This window comes from Homo sapiens, chromosome 3 (genome assembly GCF_000001405.40).
Source record: "Homo sapiens chromosome 3, GRCh38.p14 Primary Assembly".
Classification (NCBI taxonomy): domain Eukaryota; kingdom Metazoa; phylum Chordata; class Mammalia; order Primates; family Hominidae; genus Homo; species Homo sapiens.
The window spans coordinates 167,726,747-167,740,878 of NC_000003.12; the positions used below are offsets into that span (position 1 = coordinate 167,726,747).

Sequence of the window (14,132 nt, forward strand, 5' to 3'; positions counted from 1 at the left end):
GAGGCAAACCAGATGCCTAGAACACAAAATTTTGCTCTGATTTGCATGACTGAGAGAGTTAGTGCTTCTTCAAAGTTTGTACCCTAGGCATATCTCTTGCCTCACCCTAGTCCTGCCCCTGCATAACATACACAATGAGAGTCAAACACTGATATCACAATGTCATAAAGGCCACCTACATAGCATATTTTCAAAACCTTTTATCTCCCATTTGCCAAAATGGATGCATAAATACACTTAGTTTTGGCTTACATAAAAGAATTTGGCCATCAGGTGCATTTTAAAACTTTTTGCCAAACCAATGTTAAAATTACTTTTCTAAATGTACATAGATAAACTTAACAAAGGAAACCATGGCCCAGAAGCAGGCTGGGTAGCAGGCTGGGTTGCACACTGAAATCAAGATGTGATCAAAGCCCTTGAGATAATTCATAAAAGGTTTATAATCTGTACAAGATAATCAAAAGTTGACAACAAAATTAAAGAGCTCATTACCTCAGAATTAGCTGATGGGAAATGGAAACAGTAACAAAATAGTAACAATTGGCTCCTACGATATTTCAAAGCAACTTGTTCAGGGGGAAAAACATACATCTCTTTAGTTGTGACAATCCTCATTTTTTTTTCCTATGTCTAAATTTTTGGTAAATTCTGATCTGAGTAAAATTTAAATGAAAACACTTGTTGGAAGACAGGAAACAAATCTGTCCCCTTGAATATGTTCATCTTTTGCCCATAAAGTTCTCAACCTAATGGTTCATGAATAATGCCTAGTTGAATAGTTGTTTGGTGTTTAATTGAGGTACATGTCTATTTTCCTTTTTATTAGTATTATTCCTTGTCTTAGTTTCTCCAATACGATGTTAATTAAAGCTTTCCTTTAAAATCCCTTAGAAATTCAACTAAACTTAATTCCTCAGAGTGTTAGGTCCTCTCTGCTTAAAGGTACAATTAAAAGAATCTGTACCACCCTGGATCAGAGCTACTTGCTTTGTATCACTTATAATCTTAGATACCTAGAATTTAACTTAATGACTCCTAATGGCTTAAGATCCTCTAAAACATGCAACAGGTACTTTCATTACTTTACACAATTTCTTTGCACCAAAAACACTGCCACAGGGCACTCAAATGTTGACAGAAACTATTAGCCCCAGACAATAAATAGCCTCTGCCTTATTTAACATTAGGTGCTAATGAGGCCAAGGTTCTATCTTGATGATGACATTTAACTTTACCTTTAGCTCCCAATTGATCTCAAATACAAATACTATTTCTTACAAGAAGAAATTAGGGCTAGGATAGTATCTGTTTTTACTGCATCTACTGTTCCTCCTGTAACCTTCACTTCGCAAAAGTGTGATTTATTTTTTAAGGGAGCATACCAAAAATAAGGTAGAACCTTGGAAATCTCTCAAATTTTGACAGTACTGCATAAATACCGATTTTAATATGGATAAAGACATAGAGAAAGATGTGCAGTTCTCAATAAAAAAAAAAAAAGGATTCCAAATGCTTTGGAATTAAATGAAAAAAAGCCTAGCAACAATCTAAACTCGTATAGGGTGCAGTTGCTGTCTAGAGGCCAGGTCTGACTCATTTAACATTCCCAACTGGCTTCTGTTGTAGTAACCTTATATAAGTCTGAGGAGGCAGCCGGTGTGTAACATCTTAGGGTTTTGTCATTCCATAACTTCAATCTCAGTTGAATTCCAGTCTATCTTGAAGTAAGAGAGAATGACTGAATAAGACAGGGAGACCCATTTCAGTGCCAGGGACCAGATGGCAGTTAGAGAAACAATCATTTATTTTTCTATCAGCTCTAACCTAAAATTGTAAAATGAACTGATGCACATGGAAGTACTTAGTATATTAGAAAGACTAAATGTCCATACAATGGTCTTTCAACCCTTTCCCCTTGTATCTACTGAAGTATAAACTCCCTAAAGAGAAGTTGTATCCATTTCTCTATTTCCTAGTATCCAACACAGTATTCTGCATAGTCAGTCTAAGTCAGCAACAGTGTTAGTTGGAGATATGGTGATGAAAAGTCAAACAGCACATACCCTTGAAGGTATGTAGTCTTGGCAGGGAAGAGAGACAGTAAAGAAATACAGTGACATGTCACACTGCCACTTGGCATTAACACTCCAGGGAGCGTACCTGCTTCACATGATACTCCTACCCTATGCAAGTTCAACAGACATGGTGAACATTTGTTTGAAGAAAACAAACAAAAAAATAACTTCACTAAAAATAACTACTGCAGTATGTGATAATTCCATTCCCTATGCAAAAGTCCCAGAATGAGACAGATAAGAAACGTGGATCTGCCACTCCCCACACCAGACTGAGAGCCACAGTGAGCTCTCACAAAGAGTAGCTTGCCACACTGATTGTGACTCTTGTATTATAATATACATATTTCTTTTTTCAATATGGTCTCTGCATAACAAGTCAAACACTTCACCTGGTACTCAAAAGAAATCTACTCCAATGCTAGAAAAAAACTGGCTGTGTTGAAGTTGTTAGTCTACAACGTGTATTTCCTAATAGGTTTTTTAAAAAGTTTGAATATTAAGTAATTTCTGCCTGCCACACTGACCTTAGCATTTAAGACATAACTGCTCTGTAACTACAACTCTTAATGCTAATTTCTCTCTCCAATGCAGTTCAATCACTAACATCATTTTTACTATAATGATGAAAAACATGGTCTCTTGAGTCAGCCAGCCTGGATTCAAATCCTAATTCCAAGCAATTTTTCCTGCAACCGTAGGCAAGTTCCTTAACCTCTCTGTACTTTAGTTTCCTCATTTAAAAACTGGAGATAATAGTGCCTCTACCTCGAAGGGTTGTCGTAAGGATTATAAGAGATCCTGTAAAATGCTTATTAGCATGAGACTTGGCACTTAGTTACTTAATACTCAATAAATGCTAGCTATTATATTAGGTTCCAGTTCATTCCAAAGAAGGTTTAAGGCAATTTCACAAGTAATATGCATTCAATAAGTAAATGAATCAAAAAGTCATTATTTAGACTAACCTCTGGTAAACTTATTCCCAAGGGACCAGCCTAAGTATATGTTAGTGACTACCACTTAACATGTTCCACTGCTGTTACCCAATAGTTCATAAGCTTGTTAATAAAATTCTTTTCTTTTTCTTTTAACCCTATAGGCAACCTGGATTCTATCAACTGTATAAGAATGAAACTGAACAGCAGAAAATCACTTTTGGGTGATTTTAAAAATGGTTATACATAACCAAAAATGTAAGGGTGAGCTTGAAAAATAAGTGTAATATAATACACTTAAGACACATTTAAATTTTGTAGCTTAAATGACAAAATTGAAATTACCATCTTCATACAGACAAAAATGAACCATCAAACCACAGTGTTTATCTTTCAGCACATAAATTATTTCTAATTGCTATAATAAATGTGCTTTCATTTTTTGCATTGTGTGTGTGTGTGTGTCCCTAAAGCATAACCCTCTAACACTGCAGCTTACTATAATATTTCAAATGCAATAACATAGATAACAATGACATTTAACTTCTAAATCACTTTTACAGTTTATATTATGGAAAAAATTACTTATCATGTAAGTGGCTTAAAATTCTTAGTAACACCTATCATAATGATATTAATTATCCAACAACATATAAAAAGCAGTATTTCAGTTTTATCCTCCACATACTGGTTATGCTAGGTAAATATGAAAATTTTATCCAAGATTCAAGTAACATCAACACTGACTTTTTAAAAAGTAAGTTTAGGATTTAGCAAAGACTTGTTTTTAATAATAAAATGGATAGTATTACCAAATTTTAAAGCCAAATTATCAGCAATCTCTTTTTGACAAGATCTTGTGGAAGAGTAAACTGGTAAATCCATGAAGGCATACAAGGCTACAGAAACTCAGGGCTGTTGACCTTACTCTATGCCATACCGTGGTACTACAAATGACTGCAGAACTTGTTTCCAAGACCAAAACCTAACACAATTTATCCCTAAAATTCAGTTTGTATGTTTTAAAAATAATCTTTTTATGCTTAAGTCTCCAGCTATAAAGCAAATAAGATTAGAAAAGTATTAGAAAAATTTTCAGGAAACCCAAAATATAAGTTCCTTTGAAACAAAAACTACTCAATTTTACAAAGCCACCTTGTCTAAATCAAGTGATATTAAAGGTATAATTCATAGGAAGATAGCAAGGTTAAAAAGCAAGAAACAAAACAAAAAAGCAAAGAAAAAGAAAAAATTATGGATTCTAGAATACGGAGATAGATCCAGATTCTAACCATGGTTCCAGTACCAACGTTCTGGAAACTCTAGCAATTTAATTAAACTTTTTTTAGTTTAATAAGTAAATTTACTTATTTTCTTGATGTCTTCAGCTATAAAACAGTATTAATACTACTACCTAGAGGAAATAAAGGTTTTTAGGGCAAAACGAGACAACATTAGGGAAGAAGAGTCCATTAGAAGTTTCTTCCATGTCTATATTTTGTTATAATGAATATCGCTTGCAAAAAGCAGGACAGTGATAAGTCTCTAAAATGCTGTGTTACACAGCAATTCTGCGGCAAATGAAAGTGATTCCTTTATCATTTCCACTTAGAAAATTAATCCTGATTTCAGAGACCTCCAAAAAGAACAAACATTTTTCCACAATTTATATTAAAATTCTGTCAATGACTCCTTTACATATAACCTAAATTGCCTAAGCATTATGGCTCATTTGAAAGTTCTTATATACTTCAATCCAGAAAGCATATCCGCTTTATTCATTTCTCTATTTCTGTCCCCAGAGAAGTGCTGGAAGCACTGTGCATGAATACACTCCTTCATTCATTCAGCAAATATTTACTGAACCCTTACAATGTGCCAGGTACTGCGTAAGTAGTGGGGTAAAACATGACAAATGAGAGGGCCCTGCTCAGGGAGCTTATAGTCCAGTGAGGAGACAGTATTTGTCAAATAAATACAGAAATAATTAAGTTTCTATTATGATGATGCCACAAAGGAGTACAGAGTATGGTGAATACATGGCGGAAACCTATTCTGATTTTGGGAAGGCGGGCAAGGCTCCCCTGACGAACGATATTTAAATTGAGACGTGAAAACTGACTACCAGGTGGCCACATTTAGGTAGGCGTGAGGGGAACAGTCCAAGGAGTGAGACGGAATATGTAAAGGCCACCAAGTCAGGAAGCAGCTTATGTATGTAGTAACTGAAAGGCATGGTAAATGAGAAAGGCTGGAGATAAGGACGGAGAGCTGGATAGGAGAAGAGATAAATTTTTAGTGTTAAACAGAGTAAGAAGGTAATAGTATTTGAATATTTAAGTCACGTTAAGTCTTCTTCTCATGTAAATAATCTAAGGGAACTAAGTCTTTACTCCAAAATATTAAAGATCTGTAGTCAGAAGATCTCGATTTTGTCTTACTCCCACCAGTTACAAGTCACTTAACCAACTTGAGCCTCTTCATTCTCTTTGTAAATATTATCTTACCTACTCAGACTACAATAATAAACAGCCCCTATTCTTACAGACCTTACATCCTTAAGAGAAACAGACAGATGTATAATATACGGAAGACATCCCAAGTCCTCTAAGAAATAATGTCCAAAAGCTGACATAAGGCTCCTGCAAAGTTCAAAATGAGAAGAAATGCAGACACTGGTGAGCTGCAAACCACGTGTACACATAACTCTGTGAACTCCTAATTATCCAACGTGCAGAGATCTAAAGTGACAACAGTACCGCAGCATGTGACTGAAAGATGATAACAACAATACAAACATTAATCCACCATCCGAATAGAAGAAATATCAAAACTATAATTGGCCTCAGAGATAAAGAGTAGTGGCAGAAATGAACCAAGAACAAAATCTAAAACACACTGAACAAATGCATTACATTAACTAATTTCCAAAATTTCCTCATAGTTCAAAAGCTCTTTCCATAATGACAGAGTTACATGCCAAAGGTTAGAACTTATTTCATACCTCCTTCAACAAAAGGCAAATACCTACATTGTCATCTAGAAAACAGATTAATATTCTTGCTTTACCATCACTGACTCATGTTCAGTTTACGGTCTACTTACATCACTGCACCTTTCTTAATCCAGCACAAAGTCAGTTATCACCACATAATTTTCCATTTGTTTAACTGGGTCTTCCTTGTCTGTGTACTACATTACTTATGGTACATTATTCCTGATTTTACTTCATTCTATAGTATCATACTTTTTCTATTTTAAAAATCGTATTAATTTCCAGACCATCTTAATTTCAACCATCAGGGAAGATAATACCTCTGTTCCGAAAAAATGTTTTTCCATTAAAAAGTGAAGCACATTGTTGATAATATAGTAACTGCAGAGTACATTCAAAATTCAGCATAGTCTGATGATCAACTTATATATAAAACAGTAAGCTATGATTTATTACATGTTAAGAGTAAGCCATGATTTATTACATGCTAACCTGTATGGATATAAAGTTATCACAAATAAATTCTGCCATCAATGAACATACTCTAACAATTCTATTAAAAACTTATCCAATAATAATAGTCATGAGCTATAACTGGTCATAATCATTATAGAGGATAAGACTTGCATAAAGGCACTACTTTCTGCAAGATATGAACTATACGTGTACTGTTTTTTCATTCTTCAATGTAAAGTAAGAATGAATTGAAAGTCACAGTTGATGCTAAGAAAAATAAAAATATGCAAGAGCCCAATTTTATTATTTGCAGACACACACACAAATACAGCCCAGAGTCAAGAAAATGGGGGAAAAGTAAAGTCTCAAAAAAGACGATGTTACCTCCAAGAAATGCAAAATACCTTCTTTTCTAGTAATGGGCACACTAAACTCTCCTAACGCTACATTATTTGAAAAAAGTGTAGTTTTGTGAAAGAATTCCAATCCCACTATTATCAGTTTTACAAAATGAGAGTAAAAACAGTCCTAAGGTAGAAAAAGAAAAGAATATTCTTCTAAGGATGGGATATATTGTTTAACTGTTGTTCTCCCATCCTATTACCTACCCGTAAAAATGAACTGTGAGAGTAGAGTCTATCATTTAATACACCCCTAAAAAAAGGGGAAAAATCTGTAAAAGTTGAAACTGGCCATTTTTATTTTTTCCAAAAGGATCTTTCCTTTATTGAGGAATTTCACTCCGGTTCAAGAAACAACTTTTTATCTCACAATGGCTTCTTAGATATACTATATAAAATACATTTACTTTGTAACTTCCTCCACCCTTTTCAAAAAGCACAACCAACGTCCCTACTCTAAAGCTGGACTCGAACCGAACTAGATTCAGAAAGTCTGTCCCTACGTGTGTGACCTTGGGCACGTCATATAATCCCTCGGTTTCCTCATCAGCATCCCAAAATGAAAGCGCTCTGAAAGCAGTAAAGGAGTAAAAACATACCTTAGGTATGACACCTAAGAGGGTCAAGTCTTTCTGTTTAAGGCAAAATTATCTCCTTAGAGGGCCACATCATTAAACTGGAACTGAATCCGTAGACCCCAACATTTGTCTCTTCCTTCTTCCAGTGCTCCTCTTCCCTCAAAGGGCATAACCCGAGTCACCCCCAAGAGCCGACTCCCAAGCACCCTTTCCTTCCTCCTCCCTTTTCTCTTACTTACAAAGCAGGGGGAAAACAGCAGCCTCACCTCTCGGTCCGAAGCCACACCTTCAAAGGACCCCACCCCAGGCACATCCGCCCTGTCCCCTCTCCCGGGGCACCAGGGGCCAACCTCGCCCTTCCCCTCCCGCCCCCACCTAGAGGAGACTTCCTGGAGGCGTTCGGGCCCAAGCCGGCAGGCGGCATTTACAAACCCGCTTTACGCCACTCGCGTAGGGTAACCTCGCTTACGCCCGTAGGGCCCCGCTCTCAGCCCCGTCCGCTCCGCCTGCCAGAACCAAGCCCAAGTGCCTCAGCCATGGCCCCTGCGTGACCCTAGACCTCTTCTGCTCGGTGCAGAGCTACGGGGACTGGGACAGAACAGCTACACCTTACCAGCAACTGAGGCACTGACTTCACTTCCCACCTTGCAGCCCTCTTCAACTCCCGGATCAATTCACTCCGGCGACGCCGGAAGGACCCAAGAGGAACCAGGCGTTGTCCGGAATCCTGCCCAGCCGGAGTCGTGCAGAGGCTTATGGGGACTCGTAGTCCCGCTCGCCGGCGTTGTCCGCAATTCCTGCAATCGGAAGACTACACTTCCCGGCAGGCCATGCGGGGGATCCTGAGGCGATGGGTGGTGACACTTCTAGCCAATAGTAGGAGAATTCCCTGCCTTTGCGGGAGGAGGTGAGATGAAGAGAGATGGTGCACGGAAAGGAGAGGAAGGGCGGGGCAAGCCCTCACCTGCGCCAATCAGGGTGCGGAGTAGGCCCCGCAGGCGCCTCACCCATTGAGGGGGCGGGCTGACAGAGCAGAGGAAGGAAGGGGGTGAGGGGCCTGTGGTGGGGATCCTGGGGCTGTCGGGCTGAGTATGCCGTGTGGGTGGAGAGGAAGCCTCGGGGAAATCGCCCAGGTGAAGGGAGGGCTTGGTGTGGGGACTTGCACTGGGCAGAGGGGCAGCTTCCCTGAGAGCAGCTAAGCCCCAGGCACACCGGGCATCCGGACACACAGGTCGGGGAAGGATAGGCTGAGCCGGGGCTCCCAGCAGAGACGCCTGGGTGGGGCAGGAGGCCGCTCCAGGTGTGAGCCACAGAGGAGGGGAGAGGGACCCCCACGGGAGTGGAAGTGGCAGAGCAGCTGCAGAAGTGCAGGGAGCGGAAAGGTACCAGGGCAGCTGCTTTCCGCTGCCTCCGGTCCGGGCAGCTGCAGAAACAGCAGGGGGAGGAGCAACAGCTGCCAAATTCGCCAACTAGAGGAGGGAGAGGCGGAGCTTGGGTCCCTGTAGAAGCCAGAGGCGCAGTCTGGACTGTAGTTTCCCGGGAGAGACGAAAGCAGGAACGAGAGCGGAGCGGAGCACAGTCCGCCGAGCACAAGCTCCAGCATCCCGTCAGGGGTTGCAGGTGTGTGGGAGGTAAGCGTGGGTCCTTCTTCGGGGCGTCTGCACTGCCCTGGAGAAAACGTCTTCCAATAGGAATTACATCAAGACACAGCTAAAAGAGTCCGCGTTGGGTTAGGAAACCGGTGCAAAACCTCTCGGGTGAAAGATTTACATTTTTCGACTTTAAGGGCAAAAAAGCAAAAGGAAGCTTGACTCTGGGTATAAAGGGCGTGGTTAGTGTTTTTGGTTTGAGTTGCACCAGTAAAACTGTTCTGGGAGATCTGAAGATTGAGAAAAATCCTGCTAATTGAGGACGAGGTGGATGTTATCTGGTGGATGTTATAGGTGCGTAGCCTATAAAAAGCAAAAATTTTGCTATTGATATAGAATAACTTCTGAACTATTTCACTAGGAAAATAACTTTGCATTCTTCTTCAGTGTCTACCCTTTACGTTGGTTTATCAGATTGTCCTGCTACCGACCTGTTATCCAGGGTGGTTATTTTGCAGTTTCCTAGAATTGCAAGAAATCCGTATTAAAGAAGCAAGTGCAGGCAGGAATAGTCAGGATAGGATGGGCTCTGACTTAATCTATCAAAAGTATAACTTTTGCCAGCAATAATGTAAAAATGAATTTTAATGAATGGATAGTTAGCTTTCTTCCCAGTGGCTCTGGAATATTGGAACAAAGACCTGGATTCAGCCTACAATGGAAACATATGGTGTACCTCACTGCTGCTCGTTAGTTTCTCATTTGTGTCCGATAATATGTGTACATTTTAAAAACGAGTACATGGAAAGCTGTGTGGGAATCTTTTCTCTGGGTAGAGAGTATGTGCTGAAGGACTACCCTTAATATGTGTTATGATAGTGGGTTCAGTTTAAAACACATGTAGTGTCATAAAATAATAGTTTATTCTCGGTATTAAACTATATGTGCATTCAAAGCAACGTTAATTGTAATACCTATGGATGGAAATAAGTTGTAATGCTGGGTAAAGATGAAAGTCTCACCTACCTTTGTGTAATTATGACAAAATTACAGCCTTTTATTTTTAGAGAAGTAGTAAGAAGCTATTTTCCTAGTTCATTTTCATTTTGTTACAGAGGTTCCCAGATTACATGGCTTTTAATCATAGTAGCATATTGCAGCAAATTTTGCTCTGAAATGCTTTCATTGTGACAGTTGCATATTTCAGAGTCTGTCTCAATACTTTATGTTTTTTTTTAATAACCAGGGTCAATAAAATGGAGTAATTGTCTTGTTTTCTCCTATTTCTATGCTTTCCTGAGTTCTCGGGATTTTAAATTTTATTTTTGTAATGCATCCCAAATTTCTTTTTGAAAAGAAATGGCTCAAATGAATTCTCTTCCCAGATTAAAGTTCAGTCCTACTGAGTGCTACTACCGATAAGCCTAAGTGACTTTTCAGTGTGTATACTCTTCCCTCCCACACTCTCACATACCATAGAAATATATAGACAGATAGATCATAGAAAAACAGCTGCTTTTTAATTACCCCTAAGCAAATCAGCTAAGTATCAAAAACAGCAAAGAGCTTAGAAGAAAGAAAAAGCAACAGTAGCTGCTAAACTTAACCACTATAAGGATCAGGTTTTATCTTTGCTACAGCACTGGAGAATCTATTAATTCACATAGCTGATATGGCCCTGTGAAAATGATTTTGGGGGTAAAAAAAAAAGTGGGTATTAGGGTGACACATGGAAAAGACTGTGTTTGCCCTTGTTATTTGTGATTAAGTGGATTGTCTTGAATCAGTCTTAGATTCTTTCTCAGACCCTACTACTAATTCATTTTGTAAAACTGAATAATTGCTGTCGCTGGGTTATTTCCCCTATGTAATAATTATAATACTACCAATGAAATTCTTTCCGAGCCTTTATTAAAAGATCTGTTTGAAAGAGTTTTATTGGGAAACAGTTAATAAGCAAGCAAATGGATAGAAGATAAATATCTAAACAGTTGAAATTAAGATATACTTTGAATCTCAGCTCTTTATAGGTCTTCTGCTCTGAGACACGGTAAAGGATAGAATCTGATTAGGAATGAATGAGTTTGTGGTATTAAAGTACTGATTTTTTTCACCTGTTTCCAAGATTTGGATCCTTTTTACTGTGTCAGTAAAAGAGATTGGGTTTCAATATCATTTGAAAAAAGACCATGTTTTTATATGAGAGAATATCATTGGAAATATATGGCATTTATTTTTTACCTTGCACTCTTGATTCATGTTAGTTAATATTCACATTCAATCTCAGGTAATCTGAAGATTTTTCTTGATTGGTGTTGAAAACGTTCGTTATATGGCAGTTTATAATTCTGTGTAAAATGCTACCCATGTTATAAGCATATTACTTATTTTGCTCTTTAATTTTACTATTTGTGTATGGCTATCAGTGAATATGTATGATGAGAAAGGAAAAGCAACAGAGTGCAGAATGTCTCTCTTGAATGGAAATTGCTCTGGGGATGATTGTTCTTTAGCCAAAAACCTTGGTTAATTTCAAATTACCATATCCTTTGGTCTTTTCTTTAGAGTTCTGATTCTAAGCCTTTTGAGTAAAAATAAGTTAGCATGGATTTCTTTTTAACAGGAAGATTCACTGATGCATGCAGCACAAAAGAGCAAGACTTAAAGGTTCAAGATCAAATGGTTTTGGTAAAGAAGGATACAGGGGAATAGATATAAAGAAAACTACTTGAGAAACACACCTTTAGCAAAAGAGAAAAAAGATTTTATATTTTTTGTTAAATTCCTATAATCCATGATTCCATGACCTTTTCTCCCCCAGTCATTAATTTGTAGAGGCCTGTATTCATACTGGGATACATTACTTTTCTAAGTAAAATTGAATATTCAAAATCCAATGAATACCAGTCTGATTCCAGTTAAAATGGCAATTTTTACTGGAATAAATTTTGGATGATTAACCTTCCTTTTTTATGCTTTTATAACCCATAAATATTCAAAATCTAATGAATACCAGTCTGATTCCAGTCAATTGCCATTTTAACTGGAATCAAACTGGTATTCATTAGATTTTGAATATTCATGGATTATTAACCATAAAAATCCTACCTGTATACACTAACTTCTAAGTGAAACATTATTTGGACAAAATATCAAAAAGTAAATACCTAAACTGATGTTTTGCCCCTTTAAAATAATAAAGGTACTTGAACCAGACACTAAGATGAGCAAGAGCCCATTTATTTAATTAAGCAAATTCCAAAGGTTAAACACTGCTTTTGGGATCAGAATTAACGTACACAAATAAGGGAGAGATTTTTTTGTTGTTTCTTTTTTTTTTTTTTTTTTAAATCTTAAACCTGTAAGAATTTAGTCTTTAAAATTTGGAAGGTGTGTTTTAAGTAACTACGTTATTAACTCTTAGAGACCATGTACTTCTTTTCTATCTCCTGTTAGTCCTGAGCACTTTATGTCATATTCAGCATAAAGAAATTGAGTAACCAGTTACTGAATTAGAACCATTGGACATTGGACAATACTTCTGTAATGCACACATTGAGACAGTTTGCGCTTTGATAGACAGAGTCAGCTGACCTCACAGAATGATTGCTTACACATTAGTCCTTCTGAGAATGTCTTTATGCTAGTTTGCCTTTGCAAAAGTGTTGATTGAGCACAATTGGATTCACACTGTGTGCGCTGCAAATACATTACAGATTTGAGTGCCAGCATTTCTAAATTCATCTCAGAGATAGGATATATAGGCGAGGGTAAAGGAGTCTGCAACTGGTGGCACTTAAGGTCTTAATTTCACAGACAGAAAAACCCAGGGCTCAACCACCATTTAACCTCAAGGCCCTGGAGTTATACCTTTGTTGAAGCTTATCTGTAGAAACCATATTTCATTCTATAAAAACTGAATTTGCTCTTCTGTTTTTCTAATTATTTCTTCCAAAAAAAAAATAGACTGATTTTGTTTAAGCATGTGTGGAGTTGGTCATTAGTTGTTTTTTGCATTTGACCTAGAAACAAATTAATCTGATTGGTGTTAGAATTAAGAATCTAATGTAATTTTTACTTCATTATGATAAGACCTATACAATTCTAGTTAATTGTATATAGTTTTTTAGTAGTAAAATTAATTGTAGCACATATTTAACTATCTTCTGTTTACTTTTACCTTCATGTTGATTTATATAAATTGGCTTGCTTAGAACTGATAATTAACCTGCCTTTTTCTTTTTTTTTTTGCCGCCTTTTTTTTTTTCTGAGACAGGGTCTGACTCTGTCGCCCAGGCTGGAATGCAGTGACCTGATCATAGTTCACTGTAACCTTGAACTCCTGGGCTCAAGCACTCCTCACACCGCAGACTCCCCAGTAGCTAAGACTACAGGCAAGAACCACCATGCTCAGCTAATTTTAACTTTTTATAGAGATAAGGGTCTCACTGTGTTGCCCAGGTTGGTCCAAACTCCTGACCTCAAACAATTCTCTCACCTTGGTCTCCCAAAGAATTGGGATTACAGGTGTGAACCACCATGCCTTGCTGATATTATTCTTAATGATTAGCACTGTGCCTTGTGTAGAGTAAACTTAGTTCATACTATCTTTCTCACCAGATACTTAGTATCTTTAGAGCTAACTCTGAGTTTCATTGACGTTTGTATTCATTTTGAGAATCCTTTTACATAGTTCATACTTGGTAAGTAGTAACAATTTGGATAACTATTTGGTAATCTATAATGAAACATCATTTTGCAAACAAATACAACTAGAAAAATGACTTTTTCTTAGACATCTGTGTTAGTACCAAATTCAGCCCTCTGCCAACAACGGTTGCTTATATTACAGCTAAATATAAATATTGCTATCTTGTTGGATTTCTAAATGAGTAGAACAAATTTTGTTATTAACTGCAAACTTGCGCGCGCGCTTGTGTGCGTGTGTGTGTGCGTGCATGGGCGCATGCTTCAGACATGAATTTATTCATTAGATGCTATTTGGGGTTTATGTGGTCCTTTTCTCTCCTTGCCTCTAGAACTCTGCTGATTTAAAGATGTGCTTTTATGTAATACCTCCCCTCCCCTACACGATTT

General features: G+C 37.7%; 2 protein-coding genes across 15 annotated transcripts in view, besides 2 other annotated features; one reads left to right on the forward strand and one right to left on the reverse strand.

The window, feature by feature from the left end:
- PDCD10 (programmed cell death 10) overlaps nucleotides 1-8,146 on the reverse strand; it is a 51,595-nt gene extending 43,449 nt beyond the window's left edge. For 2 of the 12 annotated variants that reach the window (NM_001439202.1, XM_011512368.4), the window contains exons 1-2: nucleotides 8,060-8,146; nucleotides 7,468-7,599 (exon numbers count right to left, since the gene is read on the reverse strand). The gene's annotated coding sequence lies outside the window, so the exon portion shown is untranslated. Of the gene's footprint in view, nucleotides 1-7,467; nucleotides 7,605-7,685 lie in introns of all 12 variants that reach the window. The other 10 variants (XM_005247087.6, XM_011512369.4, XM_047447375.1 and 7 more) reach the window with 7 other exon arrangements.
- Nucleotides 7,778-7,907: a silencer, noted in NCBI's record as "silent region_14867". NCBI's record gives its function as "represses an Ori minimal core promoter by ATAC-STARR-seq in GM12878 lymphoblastoid cells {active_cell/tissue: GM12878}" and the evidence as "EXISTENCE:reporter gene assay evidence [ECO:0000049][PMID:35858748]".
- Nucleotides 7,958-8,397: an enhancer, noted in NCBI's record as "active region_20771". NCBI's record gives its function as "activates an Ori minimal core promoter by ATAC-STARR-seq in GM12878 lymphoblastoid cells {active_cell/tissue: GM12878}" and the evidence as "EXISTENCE:reporter gene assay evidence [ECO:0000049][PMID:35858748]".
- The window catches only part of SERPINI1 (serpin family I member 1), an 89,849-nt gene continuing 84,691 nt past the window's right edge, over nucleotides 8,975-14,132 (forward strand). The window contains exon 1 of one of the 3 annotated variants that reach the window (NM_005025.5): nucleotides 8,975-9,389. The gene's annotated coding sequence lies outside the window, so the exon portion shown is untranslated. The remainder of the gene's footprint in view (nucleotides 9,390-14,132) is intronic. The other 2 variants (NM_001122752.2, XM_017006618.3) reach the window with 2 other exon arrangements.